Source organism: Homo sapiens, chromosome 11 (genome assembly GCF_000001405.40).
Source record: "Homo sapiens chromosome 11, GRCh38.p14 Primary Assembly".
Taxonomy (NCBI): domain Eukaryota; kingdom Metazoa; phylum Chordata; class Mammalia; order Primates; family Hominidae; genus Homo; species Homo sapiens.
In genome coordinates this window covers 8,001,853-8,023,734 of record NC_000011.10, presented here as the reverse complement: position 1 = coordinate 8,023,734, position 21,882 = coordinate 8,001,853, and the positions used below count along the sequence as shown (strand labels likewise).

The 21,882-nt window shown below is 47.7% G+C and overlaps 1 protein-coding gene and 1 long non-coding RNA gene across 5 annotated transcripts in view, besides 1 other annotated feature; one reads left to right on the top strand and one right to left on the bottom strand.

Moving 5' to 3' along the window:
- Window positions 1–4,490, bottom strand: part of TUB (TUB bipartite transcription factor) — an 86,999-nt gene extending 82,509 nt beyond the window's left edge. For all 4 annotated transcript variants that reach the window (NM_001440538.1, NM_001440539.1, NM_001440540.1 and 1 more), the window contains exon 1: window positions 4,377–4,490. In NM_001440538.1, the coding sequence (NP_001427467.1) occupies window positions 4,377–4,432 (56 nt within the window). In that variant the 5' untranslated portion in view covers window positions 4,433–4,490. The remainder of the gene's footprint in view (window positions 1–4,376) is intronic.
- Window positions 4,469–4,538: a silencer, noted in NCBI's record as "silent region_3112". NCBI's record gives its function as "represses an Ori minimal core promoter by ATAC-STARR-seq in GM12878 lymphoblastoid cells {active_cell/tissue: GM12878}" and the evidence as "EXISTENCE:reporter gene assay evidence [ECO:0000049][PMID:35858748]".
- Window positions 7,226–12,457, top strand: CASC23 (cancer susceptibility 23). Its single transcript, NR_125366.1, has 3 exons — window positions 7,226–7,660; window positions 10,005–10,161; window positions 11,467–12,457. It is a non-coding gene; the product is annotated as a cancer susceptibility 23 (long non-coding RNA).
- The last annotated feature ends 9,425 nt before the right edge of the window (window positions 12,458–21,882 follow it).

Below are 21,882 nucleotides of genomic sequence, written 5' to 3'. Positions count from 1 at the left end.
GAGATTTGGAGAGGTCAAGGTCAATGTCCAAGTTTTGAGGAGTCCGTTTGGCTTGTGGATGCTGACTAGAGAATACAGTTATCAGTGAAAGGTCTGATTTTAAACCTATTGCGTTAAAGCTGTTGGCTGAATGTCTAGATGGAGACGTCTACAGGCATTTAGAGATGTGGGACTAAGTCTTGGCAAAAAGGCTGGAGTTGAAGATATAGATTTCTGTGTTAGAAGCATTGCGTTGATAACTGAGACCAGGGTGTAGCCTGAGAATAGAATGGAATAGAGTGAACTGGAAAAGAGGAGCACTTTGGCATGTGCTCAGATGTGGACAGTGGGGACCTAAGAGGAGCCAGAAATTGTAAAAATGTAGGCATCATATTTTGGTAGGTTGGAAAAATGGCCATAGATTTTCAGCTCCTGCCTCCAAGAGGTAAGGCCTGTTTCCCCACCCCTGAAATGTGGGCTGGCATTTTGACTGACTTTGACTAATACAAGGCAGCAGAGTGATGTGCAAGTTCTAAACCTAGGCCTCAAGAGACCCTGCAGCTTCTGCTGTCTCACTGGAATCCCTTCCACCACCATGTGTGCCAACCTGAGTGAGACTGCTGCAAGATGAGAAGGCACGTGGAGAGAAGGCCCAGCTGCTCTAGCCTTCCCAGCCGGAGCACCAGATATGTGAGCAAGCCCAACCCAGAAAAGCTGAGCCTGGCCCAGACCACAAAACTGCCCAGCTAAGCCCAGCCCAAATTGCTGATCCACAGAATCTTGTGCTAACTCAAACAGTTGTTTTGTTGTTGTTGTTTTGTTTTTGTTTGTGTGTTTTTTGTTTTGTTTTGTTTTGTTTTTGAGACACAGTCTTGCTCTGTCGGCCAGGCTGGAGTGCAGTGGCACGATCTCCACTGCACTGACTGCAACCTCCGTCTCCCGGGTTCAAGCAATTCTCCTGCCTCAGCCTCCCGAGTAGCTAGGATTACAGGTATGTGCCACCACACCTGGCTAATTTTTGTATTTTTAGTAGAGACAGGGTTTCACCATGTTGGCCAGGCTGGTTTTGAACTCCTGACTTCAGGTAATCCGCCCGCCTTGGCCTCATAAAGTGCTGGGATTACAGGCCTGAGCCACCGCGCCTGGCCAAAACAGTTGTTATTTTAAGTCACTAAATTTAGGAGTCACTTGTTAACATGGCAATAGATAACTGACATGCACATGGCCCAGAAGCAAGGCGGACAACAGCTTACATAAACACACGGAGGAGAGGTCAACTTGGGTGAGGACTTGAAGGAAAGGTGTTTGCCAGGTTCAAAGATGTGATGGGGGCAGCAACCAGAGAACAGTGCTGGAAAGTGAAAGTTAACTATTAACAATGGTTCCTTATAGAGTTAGGATGGGGATGAGGTCAGCAGAACACAGATTTTCACTTTTAATGCTATGTACCCAATGTATGTGTTGCTTGTGTAATGGTTTTAACAGCTTGATTGAGTATTGTGTAATTTTTGAATAATTCAATATTTATGTCTTAAAAAACAAGTACTGATGAGAACATAGAGGAGGTGGTGTGGACTAGTGCTTTTGGAGAGTAGACAAACCAGCTGCAGCACAATCAACTGCGAAGTTTTAAACAAACATTGAGCCCAGGTCCTACCCCTGGATATTCTGATTCAGTTAGTTTGGTCAAGGGCCAGGTGAGTTGTTTTCTTCACATAGCTCCCCAGGTACTGAGATTGTCAGGGTGAGAAGAAAAGAGTTCTGAAGACAGAAACCCAGTAAATGTCTTTATGTAGGGGTCTGAAAGCAGAAAAATAATTTTCTTTTTTTTTTTTTTTTTGAGCTGGAGTCTCGCTCTGTTGCCCAGGCTAGAGTCCAGTGGCGTGATCTCGGCTCACTGCAAGCTCCACCTGCCGGGTTCACGCCATTCTCCTGCCTCAGCCTCCTGAGTAGCTGGGACTACAGGCGCCCGACACCACGCCCAGCTAATTTTTTTGTATTTTTATTAGAGACGGGGTTTCACCGTGTTAGCCAGGAGGATCTCGATCTCCTGACCTCGTGATCTGCTTGCCTCAGCCTCCCAAAGTGTTGGGATTACAGGCGTGAGCCACCACGCCTGGCCAAGATTTTCAAACCAAGCTTCTGTGGAAGACTAGAGTTCCAGAAACGTTTACAATATGCATTAATAAAACAGCAATTTATACCACTTGTTGCATGATTACTAAGTCCCAGGCAATATGATAGGCCCTTTATATTTATTACCTCATTTATTTATTTTTATTTTTTGAGACAGAGTCTAGCTCTGTCGTCCAGGCTGGAGTGCAGTGACACAATCTCGGCTCACTGCAAGCTCCGCCTCCCCGGCTCAAGCAATCCTCCAGCCTCAGCCTCCCAAGTAGCTGGGATTACAGGCGTGCACCTCCATGCCCAGCTAATGGTTTTTGTTTTTTGTATTTGTAGTACAGACGGGGTTTCACCATGTTGGCCAGGCTGGTCTCAAACTGATCTCAAGTGATCTGCCCACCTCAGCTTCCCAAAGTACTGGGATTACAGGTGTGAGCCACTGCGCCAGGCCTATTACCTCATTTAATACTCACAACACTTCCCCAAGAAACTGTGGCCCAGGGAGAAGTAATTTGTCCAAAGTTAGCTAGGTGGAGTCAGGATTTGAATGCAGGTTATCTAATTCCAAAGTCTTTCTGCTTTTATAGGTTTGCTTTTGCAGGGAAAAATTATTTACTATATGGAATTAGCTCAACTTTAAGTTTTTCTCCCAGAATATGTCACTGCTTATTTCTAATATAATCTAGACTGTGAGCTCATCTCCCGGAGGAAATTCTATCTTTTTATCGCCTTATTTCCAGGGCCCAGGATATAGTTCGCACTCAATACATGTTTGTTGAATAAATGAATGAATGTGTGAATTTGGGATCTGAACCAAAGTTTGTAGGTTTTGTTATTTTAAGTTTAATACTCCAATAATAGAGTTCTTCTCCGTGGAGAGCACCACTTTTCAAAAAGGCAGGTGCACTGGAATCATGAGGTGGACAGGAGATTTGCTGGGGCTGTGCAAGGAAGGGCTGATGAAGAAACAGAATTAACCAATTCAGACGATATATTTCCCCAAAGAAGGCAATGAAAGGAAAAAAACAGACGTGGATCAGTTGCGCCCATCTCGAGGAGGTAAACAAGACACAGGTGAATAAGTTTACAGGCTGAAGAGAGATCACTAGTAAAGAGGCGAAGGTGCAGATGGAGGAGACAGATGGGATTAATACGGGGCGAGACTCAGGGAAGGTGAGGAGGGGTCCTAGGCAAACTAGCCTTAGGCAGGAGGGACACCTGTTCCTCTGAATCTAGGCAAACAAGGGCTGTCGAAGATGCAGGGAGGTTTTTGGCAGAGTTAAGGGAAGGAGAGCACAGGAAGCAGGACTTCACGGAGATGAGAGCAGCCCAGTAAATGAAGTTTGTCTTCCAGCCCTCACCATCTAGGGTCATGGGTCAGGAAATTTAACTCCAGAATTCTGCAGATGGACTTGGGGTTACGAAACTTAAAAACAACAAACAAACAAACTACTATCTACTATCATCATGGTTTCATTTTAAATACAAGGGTGGCATTTAACACACCAACAAAAGGTAGAACAGGCATAACCTAGGAATAAATGTACTCGGCTTTATGACCAACTCACTCCGTTCTTATTTTTTTCATTTCGCCTGGGAGGATGACTCCTTCCTCCAGGACGAGTGCGTGGGGAGCGCAGCTCCAAACCGCCCACGCCGGCAGCCGCTCGCCATCCCCGCGGGGCGGGCGCGGAGCCTGGCAACTCGAGAGCGCCGCTCCTGCGCCCAGACAGCCGGCCCAGGCTGCCATCTCGCCCCGCGGAACAGGCAGCGACTCGCGGGTCCCCGGCAGCCAGCGGGACACTCCGCCCGGGGCCAGCCTCGGTCCCTGCGGAGGGCCGGCGGGGCGCAGACGCCGGCGGGCGCATCCCAGAGCCGAAGGCGCCCCCTCCTCGCCCCGCCCGCCAGGGGCCCACCCCGGCCCCTGCCCCGCCCCTCCCGGCGCCCCCTCCGCGCCCTTTCTCGGGGTCCCCCGGCGGAGCGACCCTGGCGGGGCAGCTGGGGTGGGGGCAGAGGTGCCAGCTCGCTAGTCCCAGTGGCCGCGTGCCCTCCTCCGACAGCTCTGCCCCGTGGGTGTGGGGACACTACCCTCGCTGGAGCTCCGCTGCGCCGTACCCGAGGCTCTGGGTCCCGGATGCCCGAGGGTCCGGGTGCCCAAGCCCACCCTGGGGGTCGGGCGCTCGCGCCAGTCCTAGCCCCCGGAGGCCCGCTTCTCCCGCAGGAGATCGAGGGTCAGCAGGCGCTCACGCAGGGCCACCCTTCGGGCGCCCTACCTGTCATAGCTCCAGCGGCTGTAAGACAGGGTCCGGTGGCTGCTGACTCCCTCCATCGCCGCCTCCGGCTCCGCTCGGGGCTCCGCGGGCGGCGGCGGCGCTGGGCTTGGGGCTGGCTCGCAGGCTGCGGGCCCGGCCGAGGCGCGGGCGGAGGACTGTACCATTCGCCCCCCGGGGGGTGACCCCCTCCGGCTCTGCCAATGGCGGGGACGCGCGACTGCGGGGACCCGGGCCCGTGAGGCCCCCTCCCCCTCGCTCGGGTCCCGCGGGGGCGCGGCTGCGGCAGCCTGGGCGCTTATTTATTTATTTCCGAGGTGTGCTCCGCGTCGCCATGACAACCGCTCCATCTTTTCCGGCGTCACTAGGGCACCGCTGCTTTCAAACCTTCCCGGGACAGGGGTTGCTAAGAGGCTGCTCCGGCTCCTGCTTGCTTGGGAGTCCCGGATCCGCTGTCGCCACTCGGGGCCCTTCCGCAGAGGCGCCCTCCTTTCCGGCGTGGGAGTCTTCAGCCAACCTCCCACAATCAAGTTCCCCCCTTCTCAGGAATGGAAATAGCCATCCCCCAATTTCCTAGATTCCCGCCGTCTCCCCGTCCCTTCTTCCCCAGGGTGGAAGTCTTGAAACCACCGTCCCCTCCTCTCTTCCAACTGCCTCCCTCCTTACTGAGAATGGAAATCCACTACTCCCTCCCTCTCTCCCGGGTGGATTCCCTCGGCCCTGCTATCTGGTCTATTACGGCCCTCTTGGGTTCCGAAGACCAAGCTCTGTAAACACTCCCATTTCTAGGCCACCTTGTTCTGTTTATGTCCCTTGTGCTTTCTCTTCATTACTACTAAAAATCCTTTGGAAAAAGTCCAAGTGTCTTGGCTCAGCCAGGGAAGAGCTTGTCTGACAGTGACCCAGGGAAGGCTATGGCGAGAAAGCCCGCCTGGGTGGGGCGGGGTGGGGAGGGGTGGGGCAGGGAGAGCCAGCTCGCGCCTTCTTGTCTGCCCCGGGCCCCCAGTCCCTTCCCATCCCCCATCTTAGGCTGATGGCTTTAGGGATTTACAGGTATAATCTTCTTGCAGAGGTCACAAGAGCCTAAGAAGGACCTTTCGGGCAGTTGCTGTGGGGTGGCTGGCTAACTTCACGCCAGGGTCAGGGTGGGGTGGAGGTGCCAGGAGGCTGGAGCGCGAGGAGGGGGAGGTAGGGTTTGCGCTACGCTAATCCAAGGATCCTGACAACTCCTGTGAACTAGAGCTAACCCTATGGGTTACAGAGGTTGCAACTGGCAGTGCACCTGTTGCATCCAGCCCACAATCACAGGGAAAAAATGCTTTTCACTGAATAAATGGACAACACTTAAAAATTGGGAGATTTAATAGATCTAGCTTTTTATCCTCTCTTGAAAACTAAGAATGTCTGCCAGTGCTGGGCCTGTCTTCAGCATGGCAGGCATAGAGCGCAGTAGTGGCTGTCCTCTGCACCGGGAGCAGGGAATATGTTGTTCTATAAGCCTCTGGCCCTAGCTGGCCAGCTTTTCTCTTACATGACTTGCTTGGTCCTTATAGCTTTTAAGTTTACCATTTCTGTGCAATACAGCCATCTCTATAACCACTGAAGTACCCAACTTGCTCATAGAGCTACCCAAACGCATCATTAACCAATATTTACCAAGGGCCAGGTACTGAGCAAAATGCTTTATGTACCAGGTAGACACTGTTACTGTCTCTCGTGGAGTTTACAGACTGGTGTGCAAGGACTGACTCCCCCAAAAAGCCAGTATTCCTGAACCACATCTTGATAGTGAGGCTCTTGGCATACCCATGACCTCAGCAGTAGTGGATTGGAACTCCAGAATCAACTTGTTGCAACTGTTTGAACACAGTTATTTCATTGTTTAGGGGTAGGGGTCAGAGGTGAGCTTCCCCCTCTGGAGAATGTGTGGGAGTTTGTGGGGTCCCCCACAGAAACTGCAGGACCAGAGGCTACTGCTCCTGATCCATATGTCATAAGACAAGTCCTAAGGATGTCCCTTCTCCAAAGGACTGGCTACCCCATCCCAATCCATGCTGGCTCAGAACCAGCAGTCACAGAGGCCTCCTGAGGCTGACATTTAGGCACTGGCTGCCAGCCCCCTGCAGCCTGCCTTGGTGAGGCCACTGTAGCTACAAAAGCCAGTAAACCTGCTATTGGCTCTTATAGCCCCCGCTTCCGAATCCTGATACCCTCTAGAAGTACAAACAAGAAGCCCAAGGCCAGGTGTCCTGAACCAAGGCTGAAAGCTGTAGAGAAGCTACACCCCAGACATCCTTAGGAGAACTCTGGGCTAAGCAGATGGAGAAGCCCAACGAAGCTGTAGAGGTAGGACCTTTTGAGCCTTATCAATGCCAGGAGCGGTGCGTCAGCAATCTGTAGGAGGAGGACGTTTGGCAATATGAAAGCATGGCCACAAAATCTTTCCATTCCTCTCGTTGAGAAACAAGTTCTATGTTACCTCCCCTTTAATCTGGATGCTATGTAACTTCTGAGGTTAAGTAATGAAAGGCCCTTCAACATCCCCTGTTCACTGGACCCCTGGGCTGACATGTTAGAAGTCTGACTACTGTGATGCTGCCATGCTGTGAGAAAGCCCAAGCTACAAGGAAAGGTCATATGTGGGTGCTTCAATTGACAGTCCCAGCTGAGCCCAGCCTTCAAGTCCCCACAGCCAGGCACCAGACATAGGACTGAAGAAGCCTTCAGATGATTACAGCCCCTAGCCCTTTAAGTCATCCCCAACTGCTTGAGCCTTCCAGCTGAGCCCTATACATCACAAAGGAGAGACAAGTCATCCTTGCTCCGCCCTGACCTGACCCAGAGAATCTGTGAACACTGTGAAACGGTTGTTGTTTTACACCGTAGATAACCAGGCAGGCAGAATTCATCTCCGAGGAACTGGTTCTTTTTCCTTGAAAGCTGATTCATGGCCCTTTGGTTATGGCAGGAAGGGTCCCAGTTCATCTGCAGAGATGAGCTGCTCTGCACAGAGGAGCGATAGGAATTCAGGAGTTGTCTTCTTGTAGCTAAATGATGAGTTGTAGGGGTAAGATTGGAACTGGGAGAAGAGAGGATACAGGAGAAAAGCTTGAGTAAAAAGAAGGTGAAATGGTAGAAAGCTGGACTCTAAGAAGGAAAGTAACTGGTGAGAAATTCTGACGGATGGCCAAGGAACTCGAGGAATGGAGATGTCTAATGTTCTATTTTAAGTTGGTTCCTGCTCCTTGGTGCTGCTCTATTACCTCGAAACTTTCAGAAAAAGTCTGGTATGTATATACCACCACCTCCTATGAATGATGCTTAGGGAATGCAGAAGGTGGGGCACTGTCCACAGTGGGACACTTTGTGGGATAAAGTGTAGTGGGAGGACGGCAACCCTGGCAGCTTGTTGGAGACTGAGAAGTTAGGAGCAGGAATGCACATGCAGAGGAGACCAGGAGGGCATGCCCCTTCCCAAGAATCCCTGGGCATGTCAGTGAGCATACTAGACTTCCCCAGATGAAAGGTGACAGACTAGAGATAGTCTATCTGGATTTTAAAGGAAATTGTAACCTTAGAAGGCTGGAAGCTTCAGACTGTGAAGATGTGTGGCCAGTGGTCCTGGAACTAGGGGTCTGGCTACTCTGCAGTAAGCAAGCAAGCAATGAAGAAACCCAAAACCAGGACCTAGGACCAAGGGCTTACCATGGCAAAACGGGGAACAGGGACCTGGGAATGTATGTCCTCAGAGAATAAAACCTGGAAGGAAAGATCCCTTGTTGCAGCAGAGATGGAGAGTTATAAAGAGAAACCACTTCCCAGGCTAAAACATGGTCCATTATCTCCAGAGTAAAACTCTGGAAAAAAAATTCTGCTAGCTAGAACCAATGTGCTCCTAAGACCCACCCTTTCCCTTTAGTTTCCATTCCCACTGCCACCACATTTTACCCCAAGCAGCAATGGTTTCCCTTTAACATTCTGTGTTTAACATTCCCATTAGCACAATCCCTGTGATCCTCTACTGCAGCTAGGAAGGACTAGCTTCATTAATTTTAGAGGAAAGATTCAGGAAAATAAAGAGTTATCACATGCAATGTATAAATGCAGGGCCCGGGACCCTGCACCATTCCACTGGCCATCTGCAGATATCTATACTCTGATTCCAAAAGGTGGACTTGCTACCGGATTTCTTTCCTAGACATCCTGACAATCCCCAAAGTCAAGAGGTGAAGAAGCTCATTTCTGTTCTGAGAGACAGGCTTCACGTCCAGATGACTAGCACCTTGAATAACCTCACCAACCAATGGTCCGTCCCTACTCTCACACTCACAGAGCGTGGCTTCATCTTCAGAAGCCCAGCTGAATAACCACATTGCAATCAAATCACTCCTGCTATGGACTGAATGTTTGTGTCTCCTCCGGAGTGACATGTTGAAACCTAAATCCCAAAGCGATGGTATTAGGAGGTGGGGCCTGTGGGAGGTGATTAGGTCATGAGGGTGGAAATGGGATTAGTCCCCTTTATAAAAGAGGCCTGAGAATCCCCTTCCACCAAGTGAGGATACAGTGAGAAGATCAACATCTATGAACCAGGAAGCAGGCCTTCACCAGACACTGAATGGTGCTGGCACCTTGATCTTGGACTTCCCAGCCTCTACACTGTGAGAAGTCAATTTCTGGTTTTTTGAGTTTTTTGTTGTTGTTGAGACAGAGTTTCGCCCTTGTCACCCAGGCTGGAGTGCAATGGCGCGATCTCAGTTCACTGCAACCTCCACCTCCTGGGTTCAAGCAATTCTCCTGCCTCAGCCTCCCAAGTAGCTGGGATTACAGATGCCCGCCACCACGCCCAGCTAATTTTTGTATTATTAGTAGAGACAAGGTTTCACCATGTTGGCCAGGCTGGTCTCGAACTCCTGAGCTCAGGTGATCCACCTGCCTTGGCCTCCCAAAGTGCTGGGATTACAGCCGTTTCTGTTGTTTTTAAGCCAACCAGTTTATGGTATTTTTGTTATAGCAGCCTAACTAGACTAAGACAACCCCCACTCCTATCTCTGCCTGCCAAACACACAGTGGCAGGAGATTCTTCACATAGAGCACCCTCTCAGCCCTTCTATGAGTCCTCAAGTCTTTCTGCAAGTGAAGAAAGGAGTACAGATAGGGATCTGAGAAGTTCTGAGAAGTGACAGGTAACTTTTCTTAACATCCCTCACTCTGCTGCCAGAGGAAGGAGCAGGCCTTCATATATCGTAGATAGGTATGTAGCACCACACTCGATAGCTCCAGCTCTCAGTGAATGGTGGAGATGCCTGCTGTGGGCTATTTGGAAGTCTGAGCAAGGGGCGGGGGGAGCTGGAAGCTGCGTGGGCAAAGATAGTCATCAGTGTGAATGTTCAGCCATTTGTTCCTAAGATGGGGTGGGGTGGGGGAAGCTCTTAAAATTCATGGTAGAATCAACCATTTTTGAAAGCCATAGATTTTAAGGACAATCGCAAGAGTGGGACTGTTTATGCAGTGAAAAGGTTTATTGAGTATCAGGAGTTAAGGTTCTGGCGTTTAAAAAATTTGGAAAAAGATTTACTTATATGCTTTTTGTTGTTGTTGTTCTGTGTTTTTTTTTTTTTCCTACTGTAGACAGAAGAGACAGAAACTATAAACTATAATTTGGTTTCAGTTCAGGTCACTAAATGCCATTTCTGGCATCCCTGAACTTGTGAATGACCAATGATCATATGATCATGTGAGTTACTATCATCTCTAACCTGTGTACAACTGCCACAGCATGAATTAGGTATGTTATTTAAATTTATTATTAATATTTGAATATTTGCTCTCAAATATAGGCAACCTTTTTTTTTTTTTTTTTTTTTGAGATGGAGTTTTGCTCTTGTTGCCCAGGCTGGAGTGCAATGGCGCAATCTCTGCTCACCACAACCTCTGCCTCCCGGGTTCAAGCGATTCTCCTGCCTCAGCCTCCCGAGTAGGTGGAATTACAGGCATGCACCACCACCCCTGGCTAATTTTGTATTTTCAGTAGAGATGGGATTTCTCCATGTTGGTCAGGCTGGTCTTGAACTCCTGACCTCAGGTGATCCGCCTGCCTTGGCCTCCCAAAGTGCTGGGATTACAGGCGTGAGCCACCATGCCAGGCCAAGCAAGCATATTTTAGGTAGAATTTGGAGGAAAAAAAATGCCTTTTGTGCTTTGCAAGTTGAAATTCTACCATATCTATTTATAGTTGCATGACTGTATGCTGCAGTCTGTATAATTGTGAGTTTTTAATTTAATGTATTATTAAGAATTTTCAAACAGTTAAATCTGAAAATAGATGGGCAGTTAATTCAAGTAAGTATTAAGAGAGAGTTACCCAGGTAACTTTAGAAAGAACATCACATTCTTTCTGAAGCCACAAATATTTATAATGATGTAAATAATAAAAGGCAGCAAATAGGAAGAGCTGGGATAATAGAAGCCCGAGGGAAGTCAGTGGGCATCCCTGCTTGGAGCCAGAAGTGGGCCAGTCAACCAATGCTAATGGTCCTGAAGGCAGGGTCCTCACAGTGTTTCATTTCCTTAGCTTGGTGTCAGAAAATGCCATAGAAAGTTCTGGGCTCCCCTTGAGGCCGATTAAAGGGCTAAGAGGACAGATGGACCCAAATGGGCTTCAATGTTTGGGTGAGGAAGATGCAAAGCACATGAGCCAGGTGAGTAGAGAGATGATGCCGGGATGGCAAACATGAGTAGAGGTATATGGCATGCCAACGAGGACCAGGTGAGACAAGGTAGTTCTTATGGAGAAGATGATCAGGGATCAGATACTTTCCTTTCTCTAGGTAGCAGGATGACACAGAAATCCCTCTTTATCAGGAGTTTAGGAAATGAAGTGTCAGGGGTCCCCCAAACCATCCCTAGATTTGATGATTCACTAGGAGGACTCGCAGGGCTCAGCACAGAATTGTATTCATGACTGTGATTTATTATGGTGAAAGGATTCTGTGTCAGTGTCTCCAAGATCCAGCTCAGGCTCCATGATTCACTAGAATAACTCATAGGTCTCAGAAGCGGCTGTTATACTCACCATTATCTCTTATTACAGTGAAAGGATACAGAGTAAAGTCAGCAAAGAAGAAAGGCTTTGGAGCAAAGCCAGGAGAAACCACAGGCTTCCAAGTGAACCCTCCCGGTGGAGTTGCATGAGGACTCACTTCATTCTCCCAGCAACAGTGTGTGACAACCCATGGTGGTGTTGCCAATTGGAAAAGCTCACCCAAGCCTTGTTGTCCAAAGCTCTTAATGAGGAGTCAGTCATGGAGACATACAAAGCCTGTGTAACTGGCCTCGCTGCCCCAATAACTCCCTCTCCCCCACCCCCAGAGCCAAACTAAGAGTTCATCTTAAGTCATTTTATTAGGATAAACTTATTGGGTCAAACTGATATAGCCTCTCCCAAGGCCCCAGGGATACAAAAACATTCATCAGTCAGAATATTCCAAGGGCCCCCAAAACTCAAGCACCTGCACCTCTTCTCCAAGGACTGCCTTCACACAGCTGGAACCACTTTGCTCACCTTTAAAAAGAGCCATAGGTACCTAGGATCTGCCTCCATGCTGGGATGGCCCTTGCCTAAGCCTGACAGGTGCAGGAGTGAAAGAGCGAAGCAACCTTGCCTTGTGTGTAGACAACGTTGAGGTGTAGCTTGTATTCCAGGGTTTCCCTGTAGGATAGTGTTAACTCTGACCTCTATGAGACTTTGCCTGAAATCACTCTCTTGCTTGACTTCCTTTTTTTTTCTTGTCCTCCTACACCCACTCTTTTACTGGTCTCCCTAGCAGCATTCAGTGATGTGCTGACACTGGCTAGTTCCAAAAGCTGATTGTTAGCAACTCTTCCCAACTCCATATTCAGAGATATCCTGTTGGTAGCTTTAAACTGGTCATGGTGGAAGTACTCACTATAGAGTATTTGTGGAAATTGTTGAATGCTTGATTTATTTATCAAGCTTATTTATTTTCTTTCCATAAAGCCAGTTGTTACTCATTTACTATCACACCACTGAGCACTTCCTTAATAAATCACTTGAATATGAATGTTTGTTTCAGTGTCTACTTCTGCAAACCCAACCTAAGAAAGAAACTACCTTGGCAGTTTTTTGAGAGTCAGGAGGCTCAGAGACGTAGGTTGAAATATATTTATTATATGAGGCCAGATGATCCACTATTTATTTGATTTCTAAGTGGACTAAGGCAAGAAAGGCACCTTCAATGGATTGAAGCTGAGGTGCCGGCTGCTCTGACTCTTGGGCTTGATGACCTGCAAGTCCAATAGTGCCAGACGTATCTGTGTTAGATAACAGCCCTGTGCTGAGTCTCTGGAAGGTCATGTGGAGCTTTTAGGTTTGGAGCTGGACCCTGCCTTCTGCAGCAGAGAACTACTCATATTTGCAAAGAGAGAGCTTCTAGTGTGCTCCTGGGCCCTAATAGAGCTTGAATACCTGATGTGGGACATCAAGACACTATGTGACTAGATCTGCACATAGTAATCTGGGACACCAGTCATAAATTCACCCAGGCATGAACTGGGTGTTTTATGTTTACCAGTTCACCAGTCAGAAACTAGCAATTCATTGTATGATTGTATGATGACAATGATTTGGTGTTGGATCCAGACAGGTGCCGAAGGCACAAGTAAACTATATGAAGACACGATTCAAACTCTGTCATCTATCCCTGTTGCTCCAACCTCCTTCCTGTGGGAGTGTCCCATACCACCACTGCTGTAGGAGGAAAAACTCTGAGCCTGATGTATGGAGGGGTTGGCTGGATACGGTAGTGTGAAACAAAAATGAATTCCAGCTGTACCACACACCCACTCAGGAGAGGTTCTTAAGCTGAGTGGAGAGGGACATCCTCCTGGGGGAAGAGACTTGGGCAGTACACTTGGCCATCCACTTTGTATGTAGGGAGGCATGGCCTGAGGCAATAGTACACATGGACTTCTAGGCACTGGAGAACAACTCACTTGGGAGGTCACAGGCCTGTACGAAGCAAGACTGGAATATTGGAGAAGGAGGTATAGGGGAGATGCAAGTGGATGGACTAATGGGAGTGGGACAAGACTGTGCAGAGCTTTATGCCTCCTGTCAATGCCCATCAGAGAGCATCGGCTGTGCAGGGGGCACTCAATGAGCAGGTAGGAAGAAGGATTTGTCTGGTGATTATCAGTCAGTTTCAATTCTCAACCAACTAAGAGCTTGGGCCCATGAACGCAGCGGGAACAAGGCAGAGATGAAAGCTCTGTACAGGCCCAGCCACAGGGACTCCCTCTTACCAAGGCTTATTTACCTGCCATTGCTGCTGAATGCAGCAGAGAGACTGGATCCTGGTTATGGTGTCATTCCTTGATGGGACTGCCCCAGCACTTGGTGATAAGTTAATGACATCAGATTCCTTCCACCCTGAGGGGGCACAGTTTGTCCTTATTGACAAAGAAAAGATGGACACCTTTTCTGATTTATCTTCCTTTCTTGTTGTGCTTCACTAGTGGTTTATAGAGTGTCTAATTTTTTTTTTTTTTTTTTTTGAGACGGAGTCTCACTCTGTCGCCCAGGCTGAAGTGCAGTGGCACCGTCTCGGCTCACTGCAAGCTCCGCCTCCCGGGTTCATGCCATTCTCCTGCCTCAGCCTCCTGAGTAGCTGGGACTACAGGCGCCCGCCACCACGCCCGGCTAATTTTTTGTATTTTTAGTAAAGACGGGGTTTCACCGTGTTAGCCAGGATGGTCTCGATCTTCCGACCTCGTGATTCACCCGCCTCGGCCTCCCAAAGTGCTGGGATTACAGGCGTGAGCCACTGCGCCCGGCTATAGAGTATCTAATTTATCGGCATGGGATCCTGCATAATGAAGTCTCAGCTCAAGTGTCTATTTTATGATAAAGGATCATGAAAATGGTCTTGTAAAAAAAAAATGAGTCTTCTAATATATTGGATTATTTGTAAACAAGGGGTAGAAAGTGGGAGTGGCTTATTAAAGCCCAGGGAAGGAGCCAGCTTTGGGATGACACCCTGTGGGTTGGGTCACTGTCCTCCAAGTTGTAGTATATGCACTAAACTATCAGATGATATACAGTGCTGTGTTGGAACACACAGGGCCAGAGTAACCAACAGGTAGAAATAGTACTGGCCCCTTTCATCATCACCCCAGCCAGCTCCTTGCAGAAACTGTGCTTCCCATTTCTGCAGCAGGCTTCATTGCAACAGAGGTCCTGATTCTCAGGAAGAAATCTTCCACTGGTTAACATGAGAAGTTTTCCATTGACTCTATTGCTGGGTCACTTTGGGCTCCTCCTGCGAGTGGACCATCAGATAAGAAAAGTTACCATATTGGAGCTGGCAATCAACCCCCATTCTGAGAAGCTAAAGTGGCTGTTGCATAATGAGGCAGGGAGGATTCATCTGAAACTTGGTCGCTGGAGTGTCTTTTGGTGCCTTCATGCTGAGGGATAATGGTGCATAGCCAACCACAGCCAACAAAGTAGGGTAGTGGCAAGACAGTCAAGGGCCCAGGCCCTCAGGAAGAGCAGCCCAGACCAACTTTAGTGTTGACCAGGCATGAAAGAAATCTGGAATTGGTGGGTTGGAGGGGGAGCGGGGAGATGATGAATATTAATTGTGGCTGAGGACCAGCTGCCACAGGCGACTATAGTTTATTCCACTAATTCTACTCCTGAAAGTCCCTTTTCTTTTTTTAAGAGCTTGCATACTCGTAAAGAGTCCACACTCTAAAAGAGTCAGTGATAGTGTGGACTTGCTGTGGGGGAGGAGCAGATCTGAGCAGTGTAAGGGGGGTACCCTCTCTAACACTGGGGGTGCCTCCTTGATTTCAGCACTGTGGCGGTGGACAGCCCCACACGCAGGGCTCACATCGCACCTCAATCTCTCTTAATTAGCTAGGGAAGGATGCAGCCCTACTGTAGTTGTAGCCTCTAAATATGAGGAAGTTAGCCAGCCTCCCAGGAGAATTCTTCAGCCAGTGGGGTAACAGGCTAAATTCCCCAGCCTTCCAGTCCCTCAGTGGGAGAATTCTGAGGGGTATGTCACATGGCTCCTTGGAGGTTCCTCAGTGGGACTGAGTCCCTGTTGCTGCAGAAATAACCAGCTTGATACCTTCAGTTGCATTAAGTTCTTCCCATCCTAGTCTCCATTTGCTTTTACTTCTAAGATCATATTATGGGTTAGTTTTGTCCCCCTTAAAAGATATGTTGAAGTCCTGGCTGGGCGCGGTGGCTCATGCCTATAATCCCAGCACTTTGGGAGGCTGAGGCGGGCGGATCACCTGAGGTTGGGAGTTTGAGACCAGCCTGACCAACATGGAGAAACCCCATCCCTACTAAAAACACAAGAAATTAGCCAGGCATGGTGACACATGCCTGTAATCCCAGCTACTCAGGAGGCTGAGCCAGGAGAATCGCTTGAACCCAGGAGGCAGAGGTTGTGGTGAGCTGAGATTGTGCCATTGCACTCCAGCCTGGGCAACAAGAGTGAAACTCCATCTCAAAAAAATAAATAGATAAAATAAAAAAAAATAAAGGCTTTGGGGGCAGTATCAAAGACCGTTCCTTGATCTCAGACTTCTAGCCTCCAAGACTGAAAAAATAGATTTCTGTTGTCTTAAGCCACCAAATTTATGATACAACAGCCCCCTCTTATTCATGGTTTTATCCATGGTTTTGCTTTCTGCAGTTTCAGTTACATGCAGTACAGTACAGTTATTTTGAGAGGCTGGGGGGGGGGGAGAAAGAGAGACACTACATCCACATAACTTTTATTACAGTATATTGTTATAATTGTTCTGTTTTATATTAGTTATTGTTGTTAATGTCTTACTGTGCCTAATTTATAAATTAAACTTTATCATAGGTATGTATGTTTATGAAAAAACACAGTATATATAGAGTTCGATACCATCCATGGCTTCAGGTATCCACTGGGGGTCTTGGAATGTATCCCGCATGGATAAGGGTGAACTGTTGTACTTATTATGGTAACCATAGGAATCAAATGCAGATCACCTCACACGTAAACTATTTTTCCCCAAGTCTTTGCCACATGTTCTGTTGCAAGGGGACCCAAACTATGTCCTCCCTCCAGCTGAATTTTTATATCTAAATCTGGGGCTCCCATTGTCAGCTAACCATTACCTCTGTCTATCCCTTGCACTTCCAATCAACAAAGCAATTTTACTGGGACCATTGGACAGGATCCTATCTTGTACCTCTCACTTCTCTAACCTCCAGAATTTGGCAAGAGTCCCTCACTTTCCTGTCCAGAACTCTAGTACCATGTGGAAAGTCCAGGTTCTCTTATAAGCATCACCCTTTCCCTGGAAGGAAAGCTCCAGGAACCTCATTTTGGTTGTCAGGTCCTGAGCTAGGGTTTCTCCTGGGCAACAGCAGCTCCAGAATTTCTGTATAGAGGGGTTTGCAGATTATAATCTGATTGGAAGGGGAGTGGGCCATAGATTTACTTGAAACTGTGTTATCAAACCAAGTTTAGAAATACTATGTGTTTATTTGGAGTGATTTTGGGGGTGGGGATAGAGGAAGATGGTTTGGTTTCATCACTCTGTGGCTCAAAGGTGGCCAAGGGAAGCAGCTCCAAAAGCTTTGGTCACTTTTTTGGCACCATCCTGACCTCTCCAAAGCAGAAGGTGCTTTCTCTGGGCAGGCCCTCAGAAAACAGCTCAGGAACTAAGGGAATGCCACTGGCAACCTTTGGCCTTTAAGTGGTGTAAGGGTGTCCTCTAGTGGCCATGACTCAGAAAGCCTCTGGCATAGAGCAATGCTCCTGAGACTGGTGGCCTGTTATAGTTGGGACCAACATTGTGGGACAGAGACCATTATAAAATTGATGACCATCATCATGGGACAAAACTTAAGCAAAGTACTGGAAGACCCTAATGAGACAGAAAATACCTTCACAGGACTGACAGACAAGATGGATCAGACAAACTATTGTGGGACAAACATCTAATTCACAGCTTAGATCATCGCCATAGGCAACTGCTTGCCTTCTGGGAGACTTCGCTGGTGATAAGGGGAATAAGGGGGACAAACAAATGGAATTTTGTCAGCTTGCAAGTACTTGCATTACTGAGCATGCATGGATTCCTAGACTCTGCAACGAGAAGCAAGTCAGTGCTGGCAATTAGATTTCTATCTTAAACAACCTGGGTTCTCTTTGAACACTCCTGGAAATGCTGACTATATCTAGTATGTGGGGAAAATGCTAATTTCTTCATCAGATATGCTCAGAACCTGAAGTCACAGTTATAGGCTGCACCAAGTAAACTTTCAGTAAGAACTGATTCCTCGATGTTCTAAGGAGAGTGGAGTGAAGCTTGTTGGGGTTGAGTCTGGCTGTTGTTGGCAGCTCTGTGGGTGCTGGGAGGGGAAATAGTCTATCTGGGATGGATGGGGCAGAACCAGGTAAGACACCAGTGCCCTGCTGAAGCCCTTGTCTCATTACACTGTCCTGTGTCAGGGCAGGGAAGACTCAGTTTACCTGTTCAATCCTTCTTGCCAGAGCAAGAATCCAGCAAGACCCCCACACTTGCTTCCCTTCATGGGTCCAAAGATCTCTGTGGGCCACATTCTTCCCAGCTTTATAGCTTTCTGGTCCTTGCTAGAAACCCTCTGTACTGGCCTCCCAGGACTCTCCTGACCCATGAGACTCTAAATAATTCTCTCTCTTAGGATTCCAGCAGAGGTCAAGGCCTCACTTGCCTTCAAGCAGCCCACAGGCTCAGGAGTGGCCATAGATTGTGGGTGGGAAAAAGGAAGTGCGATCAGGTTCCCACGTCCCTAGAATCTCGTTTACTCTTCAAAAGTTAATTTGATTGAGTTCATTTTCATGAGGGCTCTGGCTTGGGCAATGGAGGAGTTGGGGAGGTTTATGGTATGGGCCTTGGAGGGCAAAAAGTGGAATAATATTGTCTCTGGTCCCTTCTCAGTTTCCCATGCCCTCCGTCCGTAGTGTCTGAATCCTGTGGAAAGGGGGCATGCAGAGCCACAGGTGCATTTTCCTGATGGTCTCCTTCAAACCCAGAAGTTGAGCAGCACGACATGGGCTTCCCAGGACACAAAGTATGACACACAGCAGGGAAGAGAGATTGACCTAAAGAAGCAGAAACTCAGACATTTATGTCTGCACACAGTTGTCGACCATGGAAGATATCTATTAGCACAAAATCAGAAAGAACCCATATGCCCAACACTAAAAAATCACTTAAGTAAATCATAGTTTACCCGTATAACAGGAACCTATAAAACTATTTAAAATAAGGTTTTTGAAGATTTAATGACCTGGATAATAATCATTCTAAAATGTTTAGTTTAAAAAAAGCCAAAATAGAAAATTCAAAACACTGTTTTAAAAAAAGTTGTTTGTAGAGAAAAGGGATTGGCACAACATGTTAACAATAATGATCGTTGAGGGCAAATTTGAATTATTTCTATTTTTTTCTTTCTCTTTTTTCTATATTTTCCAATCCTTAAAGATAAATGTTACTCATAACAATAAAAATATCATTGTTCAAAAAAGGAGACTGAGATTTTTGTGAGCTGGTTTGCCCTCCCTGTCTGGCCCTAATAGAGAGCACACCAAAGTCATTGTAAGGTCATACATATCCCTTGTCCCTTACAGAGGTGGTCAGAATATAGTGCAGTCCTCCAGCAGACCAATTTAGCAACAGGAACAGAGGGATCCTGTGCCCACCCCTGCAGAGAGCAAAAAGACAGTCTCACTGTGTGTGCTTCACCTGATCCAGATGGAAGCACAGATCCTGGGATCCCTCCTGAGCTGCCGCTAAGAGGAAAGGGGCCTCAATCCCTCCCTCCGCCCACCAGCTGGAGATAGACACAGCCTCCAAAACTGCCTGTTTCCCCTTCTCCTCTACCCCCCAGTTATCATAAAGTGTATATTTCTTCATTCAATGCTAACATAATATTTGGCAAATAATAGAAGCCCAGTGAATGCTAAATGAATGAATGATGCCTATGGAGCAAATGCTGTTAGTGTACCTGGGGTCAGCGGGCCAGTGAGATGCTTTAGGGACTCATTGCCACCTGAGATTAATCTGCTTGCTGGGTCAGGGGGCCCACAGAGACAGAGTTCTTACACAGCCAGTATGCACAGAGAGTCAGTGTTCCTGGGGATGATGTGTTCCCTCGGGGTTGCCATGTTCCCTTCTGAGTCAAGTGATCAAGGTGCCCTTGAGGTTGGGGTTCCATAGGATCAGTGCATCCATGGGTTTGGTGTCAGGTTGTCCACTGGATAAAGATTCCCCTAAGGTAAAAATGCTCATGATCTCAGTGTAAATTGAAGCCCATCTGAGAAGGTACAGGAACATACAATTTATGCCTATGAAGCTAATGTTCTCTGTCAAAGCAACCATCAAAACCAAGTTCACTACCACTGGGTAACTGGTGCTGAACAGATTCTCAGGGGAATAGAGAGTAAGTGAGAAATGGTGGGGTGGTGGGCCCATGGCTTAGTAGGGCAGGGTGGTTGGCATGGTATGTGGGACTGGTTGAAAGGATCAGTTAATTTAGGTGGCTCTGGTCAGTAGAATGATGTGATATAATTTTAGGAATAAAATGGATTAGTAATTTGAGGGTTCTAGTCAGGAAAATGATCGGCTAGGGAGTTCTTGGGAAGCTGTTTGAAGGGCTGGGTAGAAAGAGATTTGGGTAAAATTGTCGACAGCCTCAAAAAGGGAAATTACTGTGGTAGGGTGGGCAGGCAGCTGGGGGCGGGGAACTTTGAAACGATACCTTAGTTATAGGTGTTGTGGGCTTGTTCTAATTTTCCATATACTGTGGAAATTCCATCTCAGCCGTAACTTCCTAAGCGCTGTCAATGGTCACTGCTTCCACTTCACTTCCTGCTCAGCCTGTACTCCAGGTCGGGCAGGTGGTGGGACAGCCTGTCTCAGGAGCACTGGGCCAGTTTCTCTTGTGTGTTTCTGCCTCTCCATTTCCTGGGCCTCATCCCGCCCTAGGACACCTTTACTGCTCATTTGGACGACTCCAATCCATCTTTCAGACTGCCAGTGGTGTGATCACCCTGAAAGGCACCCCTGCCCTCTCTTCTGAAGCTTCTGGATGCTCCTTCAGCTATCTTGGTACCAACATGTCTTCACAGACCATTCTCTTGGTCTCTTCATTGTGTCTGGGCCACAGCTTACCTCTGCCTTGTTCAGCCTAGTCTCACTTCCAGGTATACCTCTTGGGCATCCTGTAAGCTCTATTCCAGGGCTCTGGTTCCATTTCCTCAGTGAAATGCCTTCTCTAGGCTCTTATAGCAGTTTACAATCTCAGTTCCAGAAAAGACGTCCTGCTTTTGGCTTTGACTTGAACAAGTTAAGCTTCCTGAGAGGTGGTCAGGGTCTCAGTTCTTCTGTCCTTCACTTCTCAGAAGAGGGTCAAAGCCTCCAGGCTCTGAGCAGCCTCTAAGGAAAGAAGGCAGGGTTGGATTTTGCACTGGGGCCCTGAAGTGTTACTCAGGAGGTTGAACAGGGAGTGGAGGAGGCAGGGTAAAGAGCTGTGAAGTGGAGGGGTTGAGGCCTGGGAGCAGCCCCATGATGGAGCATGGGGCACTCTGGAAGCAGATAAATTGGGTGACTCCTAGTTCTTGTTCATTTCTGAGCCATTTCATATACAAATGAAAACCCATGTGGAGGCCTAATTTTCTGGGCACATGGTAAATTAGTATGTACATCTTCCCAAGATAAAGGTCTACCCTCTAATTTTTAATGAAATATTATATATGCTTACAGAAAATTATAAATAATAACAAGTACTTATGTACTTAATATTACGTCATATTTACTTCATATCTTATTTTTTATAGACAGGGTCTTGCTAAGTGGCCTAGGTTGGAGTGCAGTGGCTATTCACAGGCGTAAACATTGTGCACCACAGCCTTGAACTCCTGGGCTCAAAGGATCCTCCGTCCTCAGCCTCCCCAGTCTCTGGGACTACAGGTGTGCACCACTGCTCCTGGCCATATCTTATTTTTTAAAGGAAAGCCATTACAGATATAATTGAAACCACGTCTGCATCCCTTGCCAATACTGTTCCCTCTCTTCCTCTTTTACTCTCCAGAAGTAGTATCTTAAATTTGATTTTATCATTTTTCGCATGTTTCCTACTTTTTTTTTGAGACGGAGTTTTGCCCTTGTTGCCCAGGCTGGAGTGCAGTGGCGTGATCTTGGCTCACCGCAACCTCCACCTCCTGGGTTCAAACGATTCTCCTGCCTCAGCCTCCCAAGTAGCTGAGAGTACAGGCATGCGCCACCACACCTGGCTAATTTTTGTATTTTTAGTAGAGATGGGGTTTCTCCATGTTGGTCAGGCTGGTCTCAAACTCCTGACCTCAGGTGATCTGCCCACCTCGGCCTCCCAATATTTCCTACTTTTTATAGTATATGTAAAAATATAAGGTATTGTTTCATG